Source organism: Homo sapiens, chromosome 20, assembly GCF_000001405.40.
Source record: "Homo sapiens chromosome 20, GRCh38.p14 Primary Assembly".
NCBI lineage: Eukaryota > Metazoa > Chordata > Mammalia > Primates > Hominidae > Homo > Homo sapiens.
The window spans coordinates 2984632-3006185 of NC_000020.11; the positions used below are offsets into that span (position 1 = coordinate 2984632).

General features: G+C 43.2%; 1 protein-coding gene across 28 annotated transcripts in view; it reads left to right on the top strand.

Moving 5' to 3' along the window:
• Positions 1-21554, top strand: part of PTPRA (protein tyrosine phosphatase receptor type A) — a 174486-nt gene that overhangs the window by 120448 nt on the left and 32484 nt on the right. For 25 of the 28 annotated variants that reach the window (NR_170936.1, NM_002836.4, NM_001388321.1 and 22 more), the window contains 4 exons: positions 2134-2218; positions 3401-3474; positions 3707-3843; positions 20425-20515. Coding sequence is in view for 24 of the 28 variants with exons in the window: in NM_002836.4 (NP_002827.1) it covers positions 2134-2218; positions 3401-3474; positions 3707-3843; positions 20425-20515 (387 nt within the window). In the remaining 4 variants the exon portion in view is untranslated. Of the gene's footprint in view, positions 1-2133; positions 2219-3400; positions 3475-3706; positions 3844-14699; positions 14795-20424; positions 20516-21554 lie in introns of all 28 variants that reach the window. The other 3 variants (NM_001388324.1, NM_001388323.1, NM_001388322.1) reach the window with 1 other exon arrangement.

The following is a 21554-nucleotide window of genomic DNA, read 5'->3' on the forward strand; positions in this document are numbered from 1 at the left end:
GACATAGTGTTTCTCATCACACTCAGAATTAAATCCACAATCATTACAATGGACTCCCAAGTCCTAAGTCTGCTGGCTTTTGCCCACCTCTCTGGCATCTTATATTGAACTGGCCTTTGTGCTGTTTCTTGAACCTGCCAAGCTCCTGAGAGCTACCATGCTTGCTGTTCCCAGTGTCTAGAAAGCTCTTCACCCAGATCTTTGCGTGGTTCACTTCACGTTATTTAGAGCTCTGCTTGTATATTACTTCCTCAGAGAGACCTTCCCAGACCACTGTATCACTGCTCCCCAACCTGTCACTTTCTCTCTCCCCACCCTGCTTTTTATTCCTCATAGCACTTGTCCCTGTCTAAAATTAAGTATTGACTTGTTTATAAACAGTGTCTTCCTTCCTCCCCACAGAATGGAAGCTTTCTATCACTTGTCTCCTTGAACACTTCTCTGTTCCTAGTGTCTCAAACAATGGCATGCAATTGCTGGCCCACAGATATTTGAATGAATGCTGCTAAAAGGTTGAATCAGATGAGGATGGGAATGTTCCTGTTGGATTTGGCAATATGCCATTTGTTGGTGTTCTGGCTGAGCAGTTTAAACAGAGCACTGAGGGTGGGAGTCAGGGCAAATAGATTAAGGAGAACCTGAAGGTAAGGAATTAGACAAGACGAATTAGACAACTGTGTTTCGGAAAGTCAGCTGAGAAGAGAGACGCGAGGCTGGTGGTAGCTGGGGGAGGGTAAATGAGGTCAAGAAGACAAGTCTTTGAGTTGACAGCAGTGGATGTAATCCAGAGCACACATGACAGGATGGAAGAGACTTGTCTTCCCTTTTAGCAGGTAGGAAAATGGTGAAGATAGTTACCAAGCCACTCTGATGGTGTAGTTCATGGAGTCGGGTGGAGGGTGAGAGTGGAGGCGGATGAGTCAGTGCCTGGCCAGCTGCATGAGAAAACAAGGCTAGGTATTGGGTGAAAGGGAGCCAGGCCCTGTGGAATGAGGTGGGATTGCCATGTCTTCAAACCAGATGTTGCCATGGTTGGGGTCCTGGCAAAAGGTGACTAAGGGAGCAGGGTGTGGAAAGAGGAAAAAAGAAGCAACCAGCAGTTTTGTTACATGGTGGCTGAGGATCTAATAATGTCTCCTTGTTTTATTTTATTTTTATTTAGCTGGTCTCAAATTCCTGGCCTCAAGCAATCCTTCTACCTCAGCCTCCCAAAGTGCTGGGATAGGCATGAGCCGCCACACCCAGCTGTCTCCTTGTTTGTTTGTTTGTTTGTTTGTTTGTTTGTTTGTTTGTTTTGAGACAGGGTCTTGCTCTGTTGCCCAGGGTGGAGTGTAGTGTACAGGCCCGGCTCACTGTAATCTCCATCTCCTAAGCTCCAGTGATCCTCCTACCTCAGCCTCCTGAGTAGCTGGGACTATAGGCGCACATCACCACACCGGCTATTTTTTTAATTTTTAGTAGAGATGGAGTTTTACCCTGTTGCCAGGCTGGTCTCGAATACCTTGGCTCAAGCAATCCACCCGCTTTGTCCTCCTAAAATGCTAGGATTACAGGCATGAGCCATTGTGCCCTACTTGTCTCCTTGTTTTAATTAGGAACAGTATTCTCTGTGCCCGGAAACCATTTGGGTTTATGATAGGAAAACTGTCTTTTTCCCTTCCTCTCCCATCTTCCTCTAGATGGAACCCATTGAGGCTGAGAGAGTGTACAGTGTTGGCCCTGCATACCTAACTTGCCATCAGAATTGAATGTGTTCATGCCTCCAGATATTCCAGTGCTTTTTATGTGCTAAGTACTGTTTTAGGCTCAAAGGATATAGCAGTGAGTAAAACAAAGTGTCTGCCTTTAAACAGCTTTTATTCTAATGCAGGGAGACAGAGTAAATAAATGTATGATAGTCAGAGATGGGGTGAGCATGTCATCCTGGGCCCCATGCTCTCTCCCCACCTCACCTCAATAGCCCTGGCATGGCAGTGGGAGGTGCACACTCATACTTTCTTCTCTGTTTCCATTTCCTGGCATCTGCAGAAGGACTGAATGAGCTCTTCCTCTTCAGGGTGTTGCCCTGAATGGCTGACTTAAGCCCTCCATTGCACAACACAGTAATGACTTGTTCTGTTGTCTTGATTTCAGATGAGACACCAATTATTGCGGTGATGGTGGCCCTGTCCTCTCTGCTAGTGATCGTGTTTATTATCATAGTTTTGTACATGTTAAGGTGAGCCTACTAACACTTCACATTCTCTTAGATTCTGTTTCAATATCCCAGTGTCCCAATGAACCCACACAGTCCAGTAGACAGTAGGATATACACAATGAATAGGATAGAGGGGGAATGACCCATGATAGTGCTAAAATTGAAGTTCTACTTAGAAATTATTTAAAAGCTCTACATAGTCTTCCTTAAGTCCTAAGCCCTCCCTCTTTCTTCCATCTGTCCAAGCCCAGTCTCCCAACTCCAGTGCAAGCTAAAGCCCAGAATGGTAGTTTGGAGGTTGAGGTAAGAAACCGCAGTTTGTTATTAGTGACAGGTGTTACAGGATCTCTAGGTCTAGCCCTGCTGAAGCAACCCCTAAAAGGGCCCCAGTAAGATTACATGCTCAACAAAAGCCTACTGTATTTCTGGCTGGGGCTTTGTCCCCAGACCCTTCTGGGACCCCTGGCCCTGGCATGTTGAGTTGAGCCATGTGAGTTGTGAGTTACAGGATCCCTCTTTCTAACCTTCTTTCAGGGTCCTCTAGACGTTACCACTCAAGCAGAAGCAAGGAAGGGGAACCCAAGGGAGAGAAGAGGGTGGTGCATTTATTCTCTTCCTGCTAAAGCTACTGCCCTGACTAATTGGATTTAGCCCTGCCTTATCTTTGGCCTAACCAAAGATGTTCTGTGCTCCCTCTGTTCTTCTGCAGGGATAAAGAGAGAGGAATCATGTGCCCCCTATAATTTGTCATGTGTCTCTATCATTCTGCAGGAGACTTGTGGCCAGGACTGTGTCCACCCAATCCAAAGCTCTGGGCTTCTCCCTGGGTCTCCCAGGCTACACTGAGGAAATACCAAGATTTTTGTTTGATATATATTGTCTGTCTCCCCCAGCTGTATTCCACCCACTCACCCTCTCTCTACCTGGTGTGGCTGTGCTCTGCAGTGAGCCACATGAGCCTGAATATACTGTTGGGGTTCCCTGGTTGGATTCCAGTGTGCCAAGGGTAAACAGGAGTATCCCGAGGTACTCGGTCACCCCAGCATGCTGCTGCCTCAGGGTGTGCATGACCTGTCTCTAAAAAAGCCCGATTATTTTTAAAGGCGATTTAGAAAGGCTGAATTGATGAGCAGGAATACAGAGGTGTGATTTGCCTCTCCCACCTCTGTGCTCCATTCTTCACTGTGATCATTTTCTCATTAGGTTTAAGAAATACAAGCAAGCTGGGAGCCATTCCAATTCTTTCCGCTTATCCAACGGCCGCACTGAGGATGTGGGTAAGGCATTCCTTAATGTCATGGGGAACCTTCACAAGGAAGGAAATCAAGAAATTAGGAGTTTCTCCATCCTTTTAAAAGAATAAGACAATAAAAAGAGGAAAAAAGATTTTTGAAGAAAACAGTCCTAGTTCTTACAGGCTTGGTCCATGAGGTAGAACCCCGTTTAGCCTCCAGAAGAGGGGCTAGGTTCTCAGGGTACCTGACTGACCTTCTCCCTTGTGTACTGCAGAGCCCCAGAGTGTGCCACTTCTGGCCAGATCCCCAAGCACCAACAGGAAATACCCACCCCTGCCCGTGGACAAGCTGGAAGAGGAAATTAACCGGAGAATGGCAGACGACAATAAGCTCTTCAGGGAGGAATTCAACGTGAGTACTTTGTTGAGGCTGGTGTATCAGCAGGGAAGAAGGCAGACCTAAAGTCAGACCTTTCAGATCTTTGGAGTCATGAAGTAAAAAATGGGCTTTTAATGTTTAAGAGGTGAGAAATGTTTTACCAAGTTTATCTGACTCCCTGTATGATCATGGATAGGAAATGAAGTGAGATTTGCCTCACCTCCCTAATCTACCCATCCATTCAGTCATCATCACATCTCTTACTTCTTTTGTTTAATAAATACTTAGCAAGCATCTAATATTTGTCAGGTAATATTCTAGTTGCCAGTGATATGATGAGGAGCAGAAACAGATCCAATCCCTATTCTCAAGGAACTCACTGTCCAGGAGGGAAACCTCACAAACAAGAACAAATATAACTGTGTAAGTTCAAACAGCAGTACAGCACATGAAGGACTGGTGCATATTTGTAGGCATCCATATTAAGAGGTTGCCTTTTTGAGTCTAGAGCAGGGGTGTCAGTGTTTAAAGTAGACAGTGGGATAGATCAGTGTGGGAAATGACGACCATGGGAGACTGCAGAGCACAGGTCTCATCTTGAGTATTTAGATTCACATTTTTTATAATTCCCACAAGGAAGCAGAATATGTTTTTAATCCACCAGTTGGTGATCCTAGCCTACCAGTTCTGATCCCAGATCAGAAGAGCTTCTGGCCAGCACGGTGACTCACGCCTGTAATCCCAACACTTTGGGAGGCTGAGGCGGGCACATCACGAGGTCAAGAGATAGAGACCATCCTGGCTGACTTGGTGAAACCCTGTCTCTACTAAAAATACAAAAATTAGCTGGGCGTGGTGGCATGTGCCTGTAGTCCCAGCTACTCAGGAGGCTGAGGCAGGAGAATCGCTTGAACCCAGGAGGCGGAGGTTGCAGTGAGCCAAGGTCACGCCACTGCACTCTGACCTGGCGACAGAGCGAGACTCCATCTCAAAAAAACAAGAGCTTCCTCGAATAAATGATATTTTAATTGATACCTAATCATAGGCAAGGGTGGTGGGGACAGGGGATTGGGGAGCCTTCCAGCCACTGGAAATAGCAGGAGAATTGTCAGGAGTGAGTGTGCTGAAGGAGGGCACACCCAGAACATGACAGGGCTGTGTGCAGCTGAAGACCAGAGCTTCAAAGGAGGATAAGAGGTGAAACTAGTGTGGCCAGACCACAGACCTTGCAGATAGTCATGAGAGAAGTGGCAAGCCATAGAGCAGCCAGATTTACATCTTGAAAAAATGACTCAGCTGGGCACGGTGGCTCACGCCTGTAATCCCAGCACTTTGGGAGGCCAAGGCGGGCGGATCACAAGGTCAGGAGATCGAGACCATCCTGGCTAACACAGTGAAACCCTGTCTCTACTAAAAATACAAAAAATTAGCTGGGCATGGTGGTGGGCACCTATAGTTGCAGCTACTCTGGAGGCTGAGGCAGGAGAATGGTCAGAACCCGGGAGGCGGAGCTTGCAGTGAGCCGAGATCATGCTACTGCACTGCAGCCTGGGCAACAGAGGGAGACCCCATCTCAAAAAAAAGAAAAAATGACTCTGGCTTCTGTAAGGAGAATAGCCCATGGGCAGACCAGAATAGTTGCGGGAATACAGTTAGGGGTTACAGGTGTTAATATCAGAAGTGCTAGTAGATTGACCTAATGTCATGACTAGGAAATGGGGGATGGATTTAAGGACACAGAGGAGCAGTTCCAGAGTTGGTAAATACATCAGCTGGGGCATTGCTAAACCATCAGTTTCCTTCACAACTTTCCACTAAGCCATGTGTCAGCTTTGCCTTATAGGCTGGCTCCTTTTTTATCAGTGGGAAAAATTTTCCCAAAAGCTTCTGGAGACTTCTCTTGTCACATGCTCCTTCTTAAACCGGTCGTGAGCAAGGGAGAAAATAAGGTTACTGTGGTTGGCTGAGACTAGTCCAGATTACTCCTGGGTCAAGGCCAGGCATGCTAGCTCACACCTATAATCCCAACACTTTGAGAGGCTGAGGCAGGCAGATTGCCTTGATCACAGGAGTTCGAAACCAGCCTGAGCAACATGGTGAAACCCCATCTCTACAACAACAACAACAACAAAATACAAAAATTAGCTGAGCATAGTGGTACATGCCTGCAGTCTCAGCTACTTGGGAGATGAGGTGGGAGTATCGCTTGAGCCTGCGGGGTGGAGGTTGCAGTGAGTCAGATTCACTCCACTGCACCCCAGCCTGGACAACAGAGCCAGATCCTGTCTCAAGAAAAAATTTTTTTTAGATATTCATGTGGGATATGGATGGATAACCTCACAGAATAGGAGGTCTGGTAAAGGAGGAATGGTTATTGGGTCAGTGGGTCACCATTCATATCTGCTCCATGACAGAAGGGCTTAGGGGGAGTGGTGAGTGATGTCAGATTTGCATTTTGAGAAAATAACTAACTACAATATAGAGAATAGATAAAAGGGAGAGGCAAGAGTTGAAGTGGGAGACCATTTACCAGGCAAGAGTTAACAGAATAGCTTGGACCCTTTTTGGGGGCTATTGGAAAAATAGCACCATTTAATGTTCATTATTGATTGATAAGATTTACCACATCCTGCCAGGCACAGTGGCTCACACCTGTAATCCCAGCACTTTGGGAGGCCAAGCCAGGCAGATCACCTGAAGCCAGGAGTTCAAGACTAGCCTGGCTAACATGGGGCAATCCCATCCCATCTCTACTAAAAATACAAAAATTAGCCAGGCGTGGTGGCACGTGCCTGTAATCCCAGCTACTTGGAAGTCTGAGGCTGAGGCAGGAGAATTGCTTGAACCTGGGAGGCGGAGGTTGCAGTGAGCCAAGGTCGTGCCATTGCACTCCAGCCTGGGCGACAAGAGTGAAACTCCATCTCAAAAAAAAAAAAAAAAAATTTACCACATCTCACAAGACAGCACTCCAGCCTCAGTACCATAGCTGGATCTGTGCTAGGCATTGTACTGTTTTGTAATCTATAATGCCAACTGCTTCTGGGTGATGGGGTATGTGATCCCATTACTATACTTTTTTTCTGACAAATTAGTTCTTTTCTTTTTCCATAACATTAAATTTACATAAGCATGAAACGAATTATTTGTTTGGAGGTAATATTCCCTGAGACTCCATGGTAAGGTATTTCAGTAAATCCCTGGATGGTGATGGTATTCCTGGAGGCATGACAGGTAAATTCGGATAGATATTGTGGTGAGAGCCATTTGCTGTGCTACCATGGCAACCGTGTTCACGAGCTCATTGGGCCAGCACTAGGGTAGTGAGGGAAAGGGCTGACCATCATCACCTGGGTTTCTAGCAATGAGTGCCATCTTGTGAGCATTCACATGGAACATAAATATTTTCTTTCTTGTGCTAGTTATCCACTACCCAGCGATTGGTTTAGATCCTGACTTCCAGTGAGATAAGTGGTGTGATAATTTGCTTGAAGTTCTCTTCACTAGGAGAATTTCTCTTTTATACACATTCAAAGCCATCACTTAAGTAGTATACCCCATAGCAGTCTACTTCCAGCCCAGCATGGGCCAGCATGTTTCACCAAGCAGTTTATATACCAGGCCGGACTTTTTCTTCTTCAGTTAACTGTTGATGTCAATAGGAAGTCAGAAGTATCTATTGCGGCAGTGGGTTGTGTGGTAGGCATTTTATAGAGATCACTTCCAGCTGATAATGGGATTCTGCTGGGCATGTCCAAATCTATGGCTAATTGAATCTCATAATACCTAGTTTACGAGACCGGCCCGGTGGCTCATGCCTGTAATCCCTGCACTTTGAGAGGCTGAGTTGGACAGATCACCTGAGGTCAGAAGTTCAAGACCAGCCTGGCCAACATGGTGAAACCCCGTCTCTACTAAAAATACAAAAATTAGCCAGGCATGGTGGCAAATGCCTGTAATCCCAGCTACTCGGGAGGTTGAGGCAGGAGAATCGCTTGAACCCGGGAGGCAGAGGTTGCATTGAGCCGAGACCACGCCATTGCACTGTAGCCTGGGCGACAAGAGCGAAACTCCATCTCAAAAAAACAAAACAAACAAAAAAACCCCTAGTTTACGATGGGGAGTTGAAGTCATTTGGATACCTGTCTGTGATCAGGCTTGCAGTCTCTACCCTAGAGCCCAGTACTAGGCTAGGAGCATGGTCTTACCAATAGGATCATGGTCTTATATCCATATCCAAATATTACGATTCTTCTGTTTACCTTACTACAAACACTCTAGAGCTCCATACAATCTACCAGAGCTTATTTCTCTGTGGCCTGGATCAGCAGGAGCACTTTCTCTTTTCAGATCACTCAATAAATTGGTCAGAGGCTGGGCACAGTGGCTCATGCCTTTAATCCTCGCACTTTGGGAGATGAGGCAGGCAGATTGCTTTGAGTCCAGGAGCTCAAGACCAGCCTGGGCAACATGGCGAAAGCCTGCCTCTTCAAAAAATTAGCTGGGCATGGTGGTATGCACCCGTAGTTCCAGCTACTGGGGAGGCTGAGGTGGGGTATTGCTTGAGCCTAGGAGTTTGAGGCTGCAGTGAGCTGTGATTGCACCACTGCACTGCAGCCTGTGTGACAGAGCAAGATCTTGTCTCTATGTAGGTAGGTAGGTAGATTGATTGATTGATCAGATGGATTAGATGGATTAAATTGAGAGATCAGAGTTGGATGCAAGGATAAGGTATCTGCTGTCTCCAAAACTCAAAATGGCCCAGCAAGCATTGCTCCTCTTTGTTAGCAGGAGAGGGGTGGTGGGGCAAGGGGCAACAAGTTGTCTTTTATGTTGGAGGAGATACCCTGACGTGCTGCAGGCCTTTGACTTTCAGAAAATTTGGCTGAGGTGGCAGGCCACTGTATTTTTATGTCTGACATGTACATCTAAGATACATAACTTCCTGCTTTTCATGTCTCACATTGATGTCATTAGCATAGTTGTCAAGGTAATGTCCTGTGAAACAGACAAAATCTTGATGAACCAGATCACAACACAGAAAGGTCAAGATGATTTATCACTGAGGCTGCTCTTGCCATGAGCAAGAAAAACTGCTTCAAGTAGTCCACACAACTTAAAAAGAACACACACTTACCCCTAGCAGTAGTCTAGGTACCAGGAGTTATATGTTAATCTGCAGAAAGTAGAGTACGTCTGGAAAAGTAACTGCAAATCTGCAAAGTCTTCTGTAGCACTTAAGATCCTGCGGTTCACATGGAGACTTCGCCTTTTGCTAAAGAGATCACTGCTCTAGGAGCTTACATTTGCTCTTTCTGTGATGGTTCTTATCCAGTGGGCTAGGGAATCTGTGTGTCTTTGGGCATTACCTAATGGCCAATGTTATTGAAAATCAAGGTGGCACAGAGGGAGGTCTAGCCAACTTCACAGAGCCGGGAGCATCTAGTTTCTTTCCCTCCCTTTTGGAGGCCCTGACAGACAGGCAGGCAGGCAGACAGACAGATCGACAGACAGGTAAGATAGATTAGATAGATTAATAGGTCCTAATGTGAAGCCACCTCAGGCCAAAATTCCTTCCATCAGCTGGCCTGCAAAGGCTCCGTTCTAACTAGCATATCTTAGCGACATTCTGAGTTCCTAGCAAGTAGCTACCTCAAGGCCAGGACCTAGCAGACCCCAAAAGATGCATTTCCCTTTACCTAGTACAGTTGCCATGGCAAATATCTGCAGATTATTAAGAAAAGATGAGGAGGGAGGTTTATAATATATGTGTGTTAATGCGCTGTGGCAGGGTTCCTCCTTACAGATGCCTGGCCTCCCTGTTATTGAAGGGTTCTGGGTCTGAAATGACCCAGGCCTACGAGTTGGATGAGGGGGCCCCCTCTCTAGCATGGTGGTCTAGTAGGCTGCCTAAACTGACCTGGAAAGCTACTTTCCGTTTCCATTACTGGGAGCTTCACAATGAATTATTCACAGCCATAAACGTCTGATCATGGTCTCCAACAGTCTTTCTAGCCCACTTAGATCAGGAATCCCATTTTGAAATAGTCCCTTCCACTAGCATCTCACGCTGCTGAGGACAGCCAGGAAAGCACTTCTGAAAGATTCCAGTGCTTTCCTCACCAGTGTATAGCCTCAGCAAGGCATGTGATGTGGATCCCATCAAGGGCATACTGAAGGTGTCAGTAGAAGGCTGAGCCTTTAGAGTCCATATGCCACTCTGGTCTCCTCTACTTTGTGCCCAGGTTTTTCTGGCTTTTCATTATCACCTCACTAAATCCAGCATTCAGTCCAGGTTTCCACTGGCGAGCCTAGCTCAACATTAAAACCATGGCCAGTTACCTGAGCTGTTACACTACCTGCAGAAGTTCTTTTGACCATACCATAATTAGAAATTTGGCTTTATCCAGGCTGGGCACAATGGCTCATGCCTGTAATCCCAGAACTTTGGGAGGCTGAGGCAGGCAGATCACTTGAGGTCAGGAGTTTGAGACCAGCCTGACCAACATGCTGAAACCCTGTCTCTACTAAAAATACAAAAATTAGCCGGGCATGGTGGTGAGTGCCTGTAATCCCAGCTACTCGGGAGGCTGAGGCAGGAGAATCGCTTGAACCCGGGAGGCAGAGGTTGCAGTGAGCCAAGATTGCACCACTGCTCTCCAGCCTGGGGGACAGAACAAGACTCCATCTCAAAAAAGAAAAGAAATTTGGCTTTAACCAAGTCATACTCTCCCTTCCTTGTTATAACGTCTCCAAAATCTATATCAACAATTGTTCCTATCATTTGTAATGATCCAGCTCAGTGAATTCCTGTAGTTTCTTCTGGATATTTATTAGCTCTTTACTTTTTTTCCCCCGCTGTAGAGACGGGGTCTTGTTGTGTTGCCCAGGCTGGTCTTGAACTCCTGATCTCAAGCAGTCCTCCCACCTTGGTCTCCCAGAGTGCTGGGATTACAGGCATGAGCTACTGTGCCTGGCCAGCATTTTACTTTTCTACCTTATTTATGCATTTTACCCTCAGGTCATGTTATGCTTGCATTCTGGTAATGTGTGGGCAATGCAGGCTGGGTTGTGGGGCAGTTTTCATCATGACAGCAAGATGCAGTAGAGAGCATAATAGAGATTTTTGGAAATTAACTTTCTTTGGGTCCTCTCTTTTATCATCATTTCTGTTGTCTCACTTAAAGCCTTATCTTTCTCATGAGCAACCCAGGAAAGATGTGAATTCTGTGGCATTAAAATTCAGCAACTCGCAAAATTTGGAAACCTTAACATTTCACTTAGCAAAATACATATATAGTAATGTAAAGGCCCTGAGTCTTGGGTTTTCATTTCAAGGTGAGCATTTGATATTGGAGCTGGGTTATTTCTTGTTTTGTTCTCTAATATTGTCAGAAGTAATCCTACTCCTTGGTTTCAACATTTCCCCTCTCCTTTTAATTGGGACACCCCTACTCGTTTACCACCAGCTTGAACACATCACAGGTAATTGCAAGCAATAACTAAAATAGTAGTTGTGCAGCTATGAACTGTGAGCAGCTTGCTCTTTCCCATCCTGGCAATTGGTTGTCAGTTTCTTTCCTTCCATCTGAACCCAGTAACATCACCCACGTTTCCCCTAGCAGTCTCTCAACTACAACCCACTCTGATAGTAATTGCTAAATCAGTTAAGGTCCTCTAGTTAAAAGCAAGAGAAGTCACCTCAACTAAATTAAGCAAAAACAAACAGAACTATTGATTTGGGAAGACACTGGAGGAGCTGGCAGAATCAGAAGGTAAGTTGGAGTACCAAGTCTCAGGTAGAGCCGACCTTGGTGGCTTTGGGGCCCTTCTAGGGAAGCCCCTGCTTCTTCCTAGTTTTCAAAATCCTGGGAGAGAATCTGATTGGCTCAGTATCAGTCAGGTATGACTGTGTTTGGATCAGTCAGCCCTGGGAGAGAAGAGGAGAAATAACACATAGGGCAAACAAACCAATTTGTGTCTACTGTCATAGAATAATATTTTTAGTAACCATCAGATGGGGAAGGCCTTTCTAAGCTACTTAGAAGATTTAGATGCCAGAATGGAAAAGTTTGAAAGATAGCAAATATATTAAAATGTGAAACATCTTTGTGACAAATGATGTCGTAAAAAAGTGGCCAACTGGGAGAATCTATTTGCCATAGGTAGACAAAGAATGTTCCAGAATATACAAACCTGTGAGTAAAAGGTAAACAATCCAGTCAAGAAACTGGCAATTTACAGAAGAAATACAGATGGTCTATAAAGATATGAAAAGAAGATCAACTATATCTAGTAATCAGGGAAATACAGATTAAAGCTAACCATTATTTTGGACCTATCAGATTTGAAAATTTAAAAAGCTTTATATCAAATGTGGACAAAAGTATGGGGCTGCAGAGACTTACAGGTGGGGGAGTTTAAATTGGTATTGCATTGGAGGGATGATTCTGGCAGTACCAATCATTATTTAAATGTTTGAGTTTTCTGACCAAGCTTCTGAGATTCTTAACAGAAAAAGCCATGTACAAAGATGTTTATGACAGCATTATTTATAATAGCAAAGAAGATAAAAACGCAAATATCTGTCAAATAGAATGGCCAGATGATTTCTTATATCCATTATGATATTCTATACTATCATTAAAATAAATGTGTTCACATAGATCTCTAAGTTATATTGTTATGTGAGAAAACATATGTGGGATAATTTCATTTTTGTTTTCAAAAATATGTATATCTGTGTGTGTTTGGGTATGTTAATGCTTTTTTTTTTAAGTCTGAAAGACTACAAATTGTCAACAGTGGCTGCCTACAAGGGGGCTGGAAGAGAGGAGAGACATAATAGGGAACTTTGTTTTCTACTAAATTATTTGACTTAAAACAAGCATATTCTTTTTATAATATTTTTAAAGCAGATTTTTTTGAATATGGGAAATAAATCTAATGGACTTAGTTTGCTTCGATGGATATATAACATCTAGAATAAAGAAGTTCCTATGCCTAGTTTGAACTGTGTCAGGAGTCTTGTGGTCAGGTCTCTATAAAAAGGGATATCACCAAATGGGATGTTGTTCTGGAGAGAAACTGGACCATGGGGGTGAATAACTAAAGGAACAACACTCATAGGACATGACAGCTGTTTTCAGATATGTGACAGGCTAAAAGGAGACTGTAGCATTTCCGTGAATGCCCACCTGATTAGAAGTTCTAGGCTGTGGCTTTCATCCTAATTACAAGCTGGAGCTTTTTTGTTCACCAGCATTTGTCTTTCTAGGAATCATTGAATTTATTCAAAAGAAATACTTTGAAAAACCACTCAGAAGCCCCCATTTTCAGGGAAAATTGAGGTCTTTAAGGCATTATCAAGGTTTAAAAAGAAACAAAAAGATAAAATTGTGTTAGCTTCTGGCTGGGTGCAGTTGTTCATGCCTGTAATCTAGCACTTTGGGAAGCCAATGCGGGAAGATTGAGGCCAGGAGTTTAAGACCAGCCTAGGCAATGTAGCAAGACCTTATCTCTACAAAACAATTTTTTTTAATTAGCCAGGCGTGATGGCACATGCCTGTAGTTCTAGCTACTCAGGGGGCTGAGGTGGGAGAATCATTTGAGCCCAACACTTGGAGGCTACAGTGTGAGCTATAGTGCTAACTTTATAGAGCTGCAGGAGCTACAGTGAGCTACAGTGATCACCGCACTGCCCTCCAGCCTCCTGGCTACCAGAGTGAGACTCTGTCTCAAAAAAAAAAAAAAAAAAAGGCTTAGCTCCTGAGAGGAATGGGATAGGAGAGAAAGAAAAGAGGGAAAGAGGTGAAGCCAGTGAAATAGTCAGAATCTGTGCGATGTGAGATGTGACCTTCCTCAGGACCTCACATCTCTTAGATTGCCAGGTGAAGAAGGCATGTGTGTGTCACTAGTGATGGGACTGAGTGTGGCATCTGAGTTGAGATGGGTGAAATCGCCTCTACATTGATGAGTTGTCCCAAAATAAGTGAATCAGAGTCACAGTCCTGTGGGAATTAGCAGGAACTGTGACAAGGGCTTTGGAATTCCACTGTCCAGAGAGTTGGGAGTTTGCGTTTTGCAAGGGGCAGAAAAGATGCCCGCTGACATCTGGGTTTTACATTGCTTAGTACGAGGGAAATGCAAAAGAAATTGTGTGTCTGGGTGTTGGGTCGTTTTAAACAGAACTGTTCCAAGACCTACCTTGGAAGGTAGTAAATTTCCCATCACTCTAGTGTTCAGTCACTGGTGACTATTGGGTGAGAGTATTGAAAGGAGATTCAGACTTAAAAGTGAATGAGATTCAGACCTGTACTGGAGATCTAGGCAAGAAAAGAAAGGTATAAGGATTGCAAAGGAAGGGACAAAATATAAATTTTTCACAGACCAAATACTGTCTTCAGAAAAACCCACAGATTCATCAGACATATTATAGAATTAATATGACATATTATATTATAGAATTAATAAATATGACATATTTATAATTTATTATATATGACATATTTATAATTAATAAATATGACATTATAGAATTAATATGACATATTATAGAATTAATATTCATCAGACATATTATGGAATTAGCAAGGTTGCTAGATACAGAAGCAGCATAAAAATTTAATGCATTTCTATACATAGGCCACAAACAGAAAACCTAATAATACCTTTTAAAAGGTGCCAATTACAATAGCATCCAAATGTAAAGTACCTAGGAATGGATTTAACAATTTAGAGAAAATTATTAAAATGTTTGAAGACATTAAAGGAAAATAGCTTAAATTAGTGAAGAGATAGGATCAATGGATTAGGAGGCTCAATTTTGTAAAGATGTCAATTCTCCCCCAAGATATATAGATTCAATGCAATTCCAATAAAAATCCCAACAGGTTTTTTTGTGGAACTTGACAAGCTGATTCTAAAATTTATATGGAGGAGAAAAGATTCAAGAATAGCCAAGACATTCCTGAAGAAGAAGAACAAGGTGAGGAGACCTGCCTTACCAGATATAAAGAGATTATAAAATTTTAGTAATTAAGACAGTTTTGTATTGGCACTGGGATAGACAGATCGACCAGTGGAATGAAATAAAGAGCCCAGAAGCAGATCCATTTGTAAGTGGAAACCTATTTATGACAGAAATGCTCTTGCAGTTTGGGTGGGGAAAAGATGGTCTTCACAATAAATAGTGCCTGGGACCATTGGTAACCCTGTGGGAATAAATGAAATTGAATGCTTGTCACATATCAAACACAAAAACCAATTCCAGTTGCTGTAAACACTGAAATTTAAAGGACAAAAATGATAAAATGTAGAGATCATAATGTAGTAAAATATACTTCTGATCTCACAGTAGGAAAGGATTTCTTAAGACTTAAAATGTTGATAAAAGGGAAGATTGATGAATTTACATGAAAATGCAAAACCTCTGTTCATAAATGATACCATAAAGAAGATGAAAGGGAAGGCCACAACCTTGGTAAAAGATAACACAGGTAACTGATAAAGGAAGAGTATCCAGAATATATAAAGAACTTCTACAAATTGTTAAGAAAATAAGTAGGCTGGGCGCAGTGGTTCATGCCTGTAATCCCAGCACTTTGGGAGGCTGAGGTAGGCGGATCACAAGGTCAGGAGTTCGAGACCAGCCTGGCCAACACGGTGAGACCCTGTCTCTACAAAAAAATACAAAAAAAATTAGCCAGGTGTGGTGGCGGGCGCCTGTAATCCCAGCTACAGGGGAGGCTGAGGAAGGAGAATTGCTTGAACACAGGAGGTGGAGGCTGCAGTGAGCCAAGATTGCGCCACTGCACTCCAGTCTGGGTGACAGAACAAGACTCCATTTTGAAAAAAATAATCCAGTAGGACAACGGGGAAACCACTTGACTAGGTACTTCACGGAAGAGGAAACTCTTTTGACCAGTATGCTATGGAAAGATGATGAACCTCATTAATAATCAGAGAAATGTAAATCAGTTAACACAAAGTCTGACAGTAGCAAATGTTGATAAGCATACGGAACTGGAACACTACATTGCTGGTGGGAGTATAAATTAGTACAACTTCTTTGAAAAACAATTTGGCCTTATCTGGTAAGGTTAAAGATACCTATACCTGAAATTCTTGCACATATGCACAAGAAAGATACAAAAATGTGTCTCAAAGCAGGACCTTTAACTGTAAACAACCCAAATATTCATCAGTAGTAGAATGGATAAGTAAATTTTAACACCGTCTCAAATGGAGCACTACAAAGTAGCTGAAGTTAGCAGCCAGGATGAATCTTAGGAACGTAATGTTGAGCCAAAGAAAAAAGCAACTCACCACTTAATCATGATTCCATTTTCCTCAAAAACTAGACTAGCAATAATAATACATTGTTTTGGATGTAAAAAATATGAGATACAAATAAAGGAATGTAATGATAATTATAAAACTTCAGGTTTACCAGTGAGAGGGGAAGGAAGAGGATATAAGGAGAGGAGCCCAAAGAGAGCTTCTAAGTTAAATTATGTGATGGATACTTTTTAAAAAATAAATATCAACAAATGTGAAAAAAAAATTTTTTTTTAACCGACATGTCTTTAAAAAATGAATGAGTACTTAGCCTTGGTTCCAGTTAAGGCTTAAACAAGAGATGAAACGGTCTTCGATGCCACCTAGTGTTTCTAGAGAGTTTAACATTTTATAGACTTCTGCTCTAGCTGCTCCTTCCTAGCTCTGTGAGCTAGGTTTTTCAGAGTAGAAACCAAAAGGAGTAGGATTCACCTTGTTTTCATCCGTGACGCAGGCTCTTCATTCTGAACCTTTGCATCTAGCGCTGTGTTCTCCAGGGCAAGCCCTTTCTTCTCTCTTGTTAAACAATGGCTCCTGTTTCTTCCTGACTCTTTTTAGGAGCCTTAGTCCACCTGGAGACCTAGTTTTTCTTTATCATGACTGAGGGAGCTAGGGATGCTGATAGGGCTGTGAGATGTAGTCTTTGTTATTCCTGACATTTTTGTATTGAAGACTGTTTTCAAGAGTCTTGCTGTCCCTACGTCTGTTCTACATTTTAGAGAAGGGATGCACAGGAAAACTAGTGCCTCTGGATTAGCCATCAGGGCTTAAAAAACTGACATCTCATCCTGCCCTGTACTTGGGTGGAAACCTGTGGAAATCTTATGTGAAGGAAGAGAATGCAAACTGTGGGTGAACTGAGAAATTCTGATCTAAAATAATGGTCTCTACTGCGTGTGTAAGAGTCCAGCCCAGGAAAATCTTTTCTTCCTTTTGTGGTATTCACAGCATAGGGTCAGGGGTAATTGCCTCTGTTAGTAAAATAACATGCAGAACCTCCAGGGTTTTAATCTGAAAGGAAATCTCTTGAGTAGGTGAGGGCAGATGGATTTTGAGGTCCTAATTTCCCTATCTTTGGGTCTTTCACTTTAATTTCTCCTATCACTGTCATGCTGGTTTCCAGTAAATATATTTGCTCCTTTCTTAAAGCTCTTGCTTCCCAGCCTGGGCAACATAGCAAGATCCACCTCTACAAAAATAAAAATTAAAAAATTAGCCAGGCATGGTGGTGCTGTGCCTGTAGTCCCAGTTACTCAGGAGGCTGAGGCAGTAGGATACCTCCAGCCCAGGAGTTCAAGGCTGCAATGAGCTATGATGGCGCCACTGCACTCCAGCCTGGGTGACAGAGCGAGACCCTGTCTCCAAAAAAAAACAACAAAAAACTCTTGCTTCCATCTGACAAAAAATTGGTTCCCTTTGGGTTGGCATTTCCTTTATTCAGTCTTTTTTTAAATTATTATCAAAGACAGAAACGTTCATTCTTCATTTCTGCCTCTTGCTCTTCCCAGTCCACTTTTGCCTTCATTCCATCTCCAAATGTAGTAATTTTTTTTTTTTTTTTTTTTTGAGACAGAGTTTTGCTCTTTCTGCCCAGGCTGGAGTGCAATGGCGCAGTCTTGGCTCACTGCAACCTCCATCTCCCGGGTTCAAGCAGTTCTCCTACCTCAGCCTCCCAAGTAGCTGGGGTTACAGGCATGTGCCACCATACCTGGCTAATTTTTTGTATTTTTAGTAGAGATGGGGTTTCACCATGTTGGTCAGCTGGTCTCGAACACCAGACCTCAAATGATCCACCCGCCTCGGCCTCCCAAAGTGCTGGGATTACAGGCGTGAGCCACCGCGCCTGGCCCAAATGTAGTAATTCTAATTCCAGAATATGTCTCAAATGCATCCATTTCCTTGTATCATCATTTTTCCATGCTTCTCTTCTTGCTCCTCTCTAGTCCATTTTCCATACAATAACAAGTAATTCTTTAACATGGAAAATGGATCACACTTTAAAAACCTTCAATGATTTCCTTATGCACTTAACATAAAATTTGAACTCCCTATTCAAGGACCTACCTGGAAATGGATGATCTGACTTTGCCAGGCTCATCTCTTCCTACTTCCTCCTGCCATCCCCATCAACCTCACCTTCTGCGTGATACCTGCACTGATTTTCGGTTCCTCACACAACCAAGCCTTCTTCCACCTCTGGGTTACCACAGATGCTGTTCTCTGTGTCTGGAATACTATTTTCTATACTCATCCTTCCTCAGAGAGACCCACCTGTAATCCAAATTTGGTGCTTTCTGATACTTCATCTCTAGTAGCATTCTGTTCTTTGATTGCATTCATCATGGTATATAATTATATATGTATTTGTTTTATTTGTTTAATGTCTGCTTTTCACCCACAAGTTTATATTGTCCTTGAGGGCGAGAACTGCACTTATATTTGATTCCCCACTCTTTGCTCTGTATCTAGCCCAGTGCCTGGTAGGTACAAAATATATATTTGTTGAAAGAATGAATGAAAAGTAATGCATGAATTGTTCCTCTACTGCTGAATACTACGGTTGTTCTCAGTTTTGGGTCATTCTAAATAATGATGAAGTAAATAATTAGGACATAAAGATTTTTATTTCCTAAGGGTATGTTCTCAAAATTGAAGTTGCTAGGCCAAAAAGTATTTTTGAAAAGTTTTTTTAAGGCTCATAAAATGTAATTTCCAAGTCACTTACTCGGAATTAGTGTTGGAATTTTAAAGTGCCTCCCTTTTTGCTTTCTTGTTTGTTTTTATAGTGTCAGAGTCTCACTGTGTCACTCAGGCTGGAGTGCAGTGGTATAATCATGGCCTTGAACTCCTGGGCTGAAGTGTTCCTCCCACCTCAGCCTTCTGAGTAGCTGGGACTACAGGCATGCACCACCATACCTGGCTATTTTTTTTTTTTTTTTTTTTTTTAATGTAGAGACGAGGTCTTGCTGTGTTGCCCAGGCTGGTCTCAAACTTCTGGCCTCAAGTAGTCCTCCCACCTCTACCTCCCAAAGTGCTGGGATTACAGGCATGAGCCACCACACCCAGCTCCTTTTTTCATCCTTAATTTTGAATATATGAAACATACAAGAGGAGAACAGATCAAATAATAAAATTTAGCTTCCCACTCTGATAAAACTCATTTATTTGAATACTTATTCTTTGCTACACATGAGATTATTTCCTTATGTGGCAGATGTTGTTGTTCCAATTTTATGTATTTATTTATTATTTATTTTTGAGACGGAGTCTCGCTCTGTCGCCTAGGCTGGAGTACAATGGCGTGATCTTGGCTCACTGCAACCTCCACCTCCCAGGTTCAAGCGATTCTCCTGCCTCAGCCTCCTGAGTAGCTGGGGTTACAGGTGTGCACCACCATACCCAGCTAATTGTTGTCTTTTTAGTAGAGACAGGGTTTCGCCTTGTTAGCCAGGCTGGTCTCGAACTCCTGACCTCAGGTGATCCACCCGCCTCAGCCTCCCAAAGTGCTGGGATTACAGGCGTGAGCCACTTCACCCGGCCCCAATTTTACAGATGAGGAAACTGGACCTAGAAATTTTAACAGATGTGCTCAAGTTCATACAAACACAGACTATCTCATGTCAGATCATTGTGTGATAACCTCCCTGCACTAACTAATCTACATTTGCTCCAGAACTGCTGCAAATTTAATGTCACCTCACCCAAATCTTCTGCTTCTTAACTGCTGCATCTATATGAATGCCCTCCCACCCACCCACCAGTCCTTGCTTCCTTGCCACATGATGCTAGAGGCTGGGGTGCCATGCCCCCTTAGATCCCTAGGAAGAGATTAAATCAGCTGGCCATCCAGAACCTTCCTGTGTGGTTCACTCTGAGATGCATGTCATCTTTGTGTGGTGGTAATTAGCATGAGGATAAATGGCCCATTCCTTCAGGTATGTCCCCATTCCAATTTACAAGGGTAGGCCCTTTTGGCCCAGTATCATAACAACAGGCTGCTAACCACATAGTAATCATGGAAAGAGCATGCTATACTTACATAACAGAAAGGGCATTCTGCCCCCTGAGGATTCTTGTGTTGTTGAACTCTAAGGAGCTTGTGGCTGTTTCGGGGGAGAGGAGCATTCTCTGTGTTAGGCTGCAGGTATTCACCTGGGCCCATGTTTTTCCCCCCAGGAAAAGGTAGAACATGCTACCAGGTCAGGGTTTGGTGCAGCAGTTTGCATGTTTGATGTTTATCCCTGCTAATAATTCCTCTAATTTCTCTTAACCTTTCAGGCTCTCCCTGCATGTCCTATCCAGGCCACCTGTGAGGCTGCTTCCAAGGAGGAAAACAAGGAAAAAAATCGATATGTAAACATCTTGCCTTGTGAGTGTCTTTAGTGTTTCTTGGGATGTAACCTGAAATTACATCTCTGGAGGGATTTTCTGAAGATGGAAAGAATCTTGCAATTGGGCACAGCAGGGTGAATAACAAGAGTGCGTTCATGGCAGTACTCAGTGGCTCATACCTGTAATCCCAGAACTTTGGAAGGCCAAGGTGGGAGAATCTCTTGAGCCCAGGAGTTTGAAACTAGCCTGGGCAATATAGTGAGACCTCATCTCTACAAAAACCTTAAAAAATTAGCCAGGCATGGTGGTGTGTGTCTGTCGTCCCAGCTACTCAGGAGGCTGAGGTAGGAGGATCCCTTGAGCCCAGGGGGGCAGAGGTTGCAGTGACCCAAGATCGTGTCACTGCATTCTAGCCTGGGTGACAGGGCAAGACCGTGTCTCAAAAAAATAAAGTAAAAGAAATGAAATAAATAATAATAAATAAGATAAATAAATAAGAGTAGGTTGAAGACTTTGGGCTGAAAGAGCCTTTATGGATCCCACATACTCAGAGTCAATTAGGATGATCCAGGAGGATTTTTGTGTCAGGCCTAAAGTTTCTAGGAGGTCCTGGAGAACAGCTTCACTAGGATCAGGCAGGAAGCAGGGGGTAATGGTGGTGGTAGAGATGGTTTTTTGTGGTATTCATTGAAAGAAATTCTAATGCAGAGTTCTCTGTATAAACCCTTCCCAGAGTTAGCCATTGCTAATCAGTTGATCCATAAGCTAACAGACATTTTTCTAGTCCATTGGTATCCAGAATGGGATATGCATAATTTAATGAGATATGAGAGGAAGATGTTTGAACCTCACTTGATTTTTATATTTGCTTTTCAAAAAAAAAAAATTCCTAATCCTCAGAACCTGTGAAAATGTTTTTTTTTTAATTTTTTGTAGAGATGGTCTTGCTGTGTTGCCTTGGCTGATCTCAAACTCCTGGCCTCAAACAGTCCTCCTGCTTTGGTCTCCCAAGTGTTGGGATTACAAGCATGAGCCAGTGAGCCCAGCCAGTATATTTGCCTTTTAAAAATTCATCC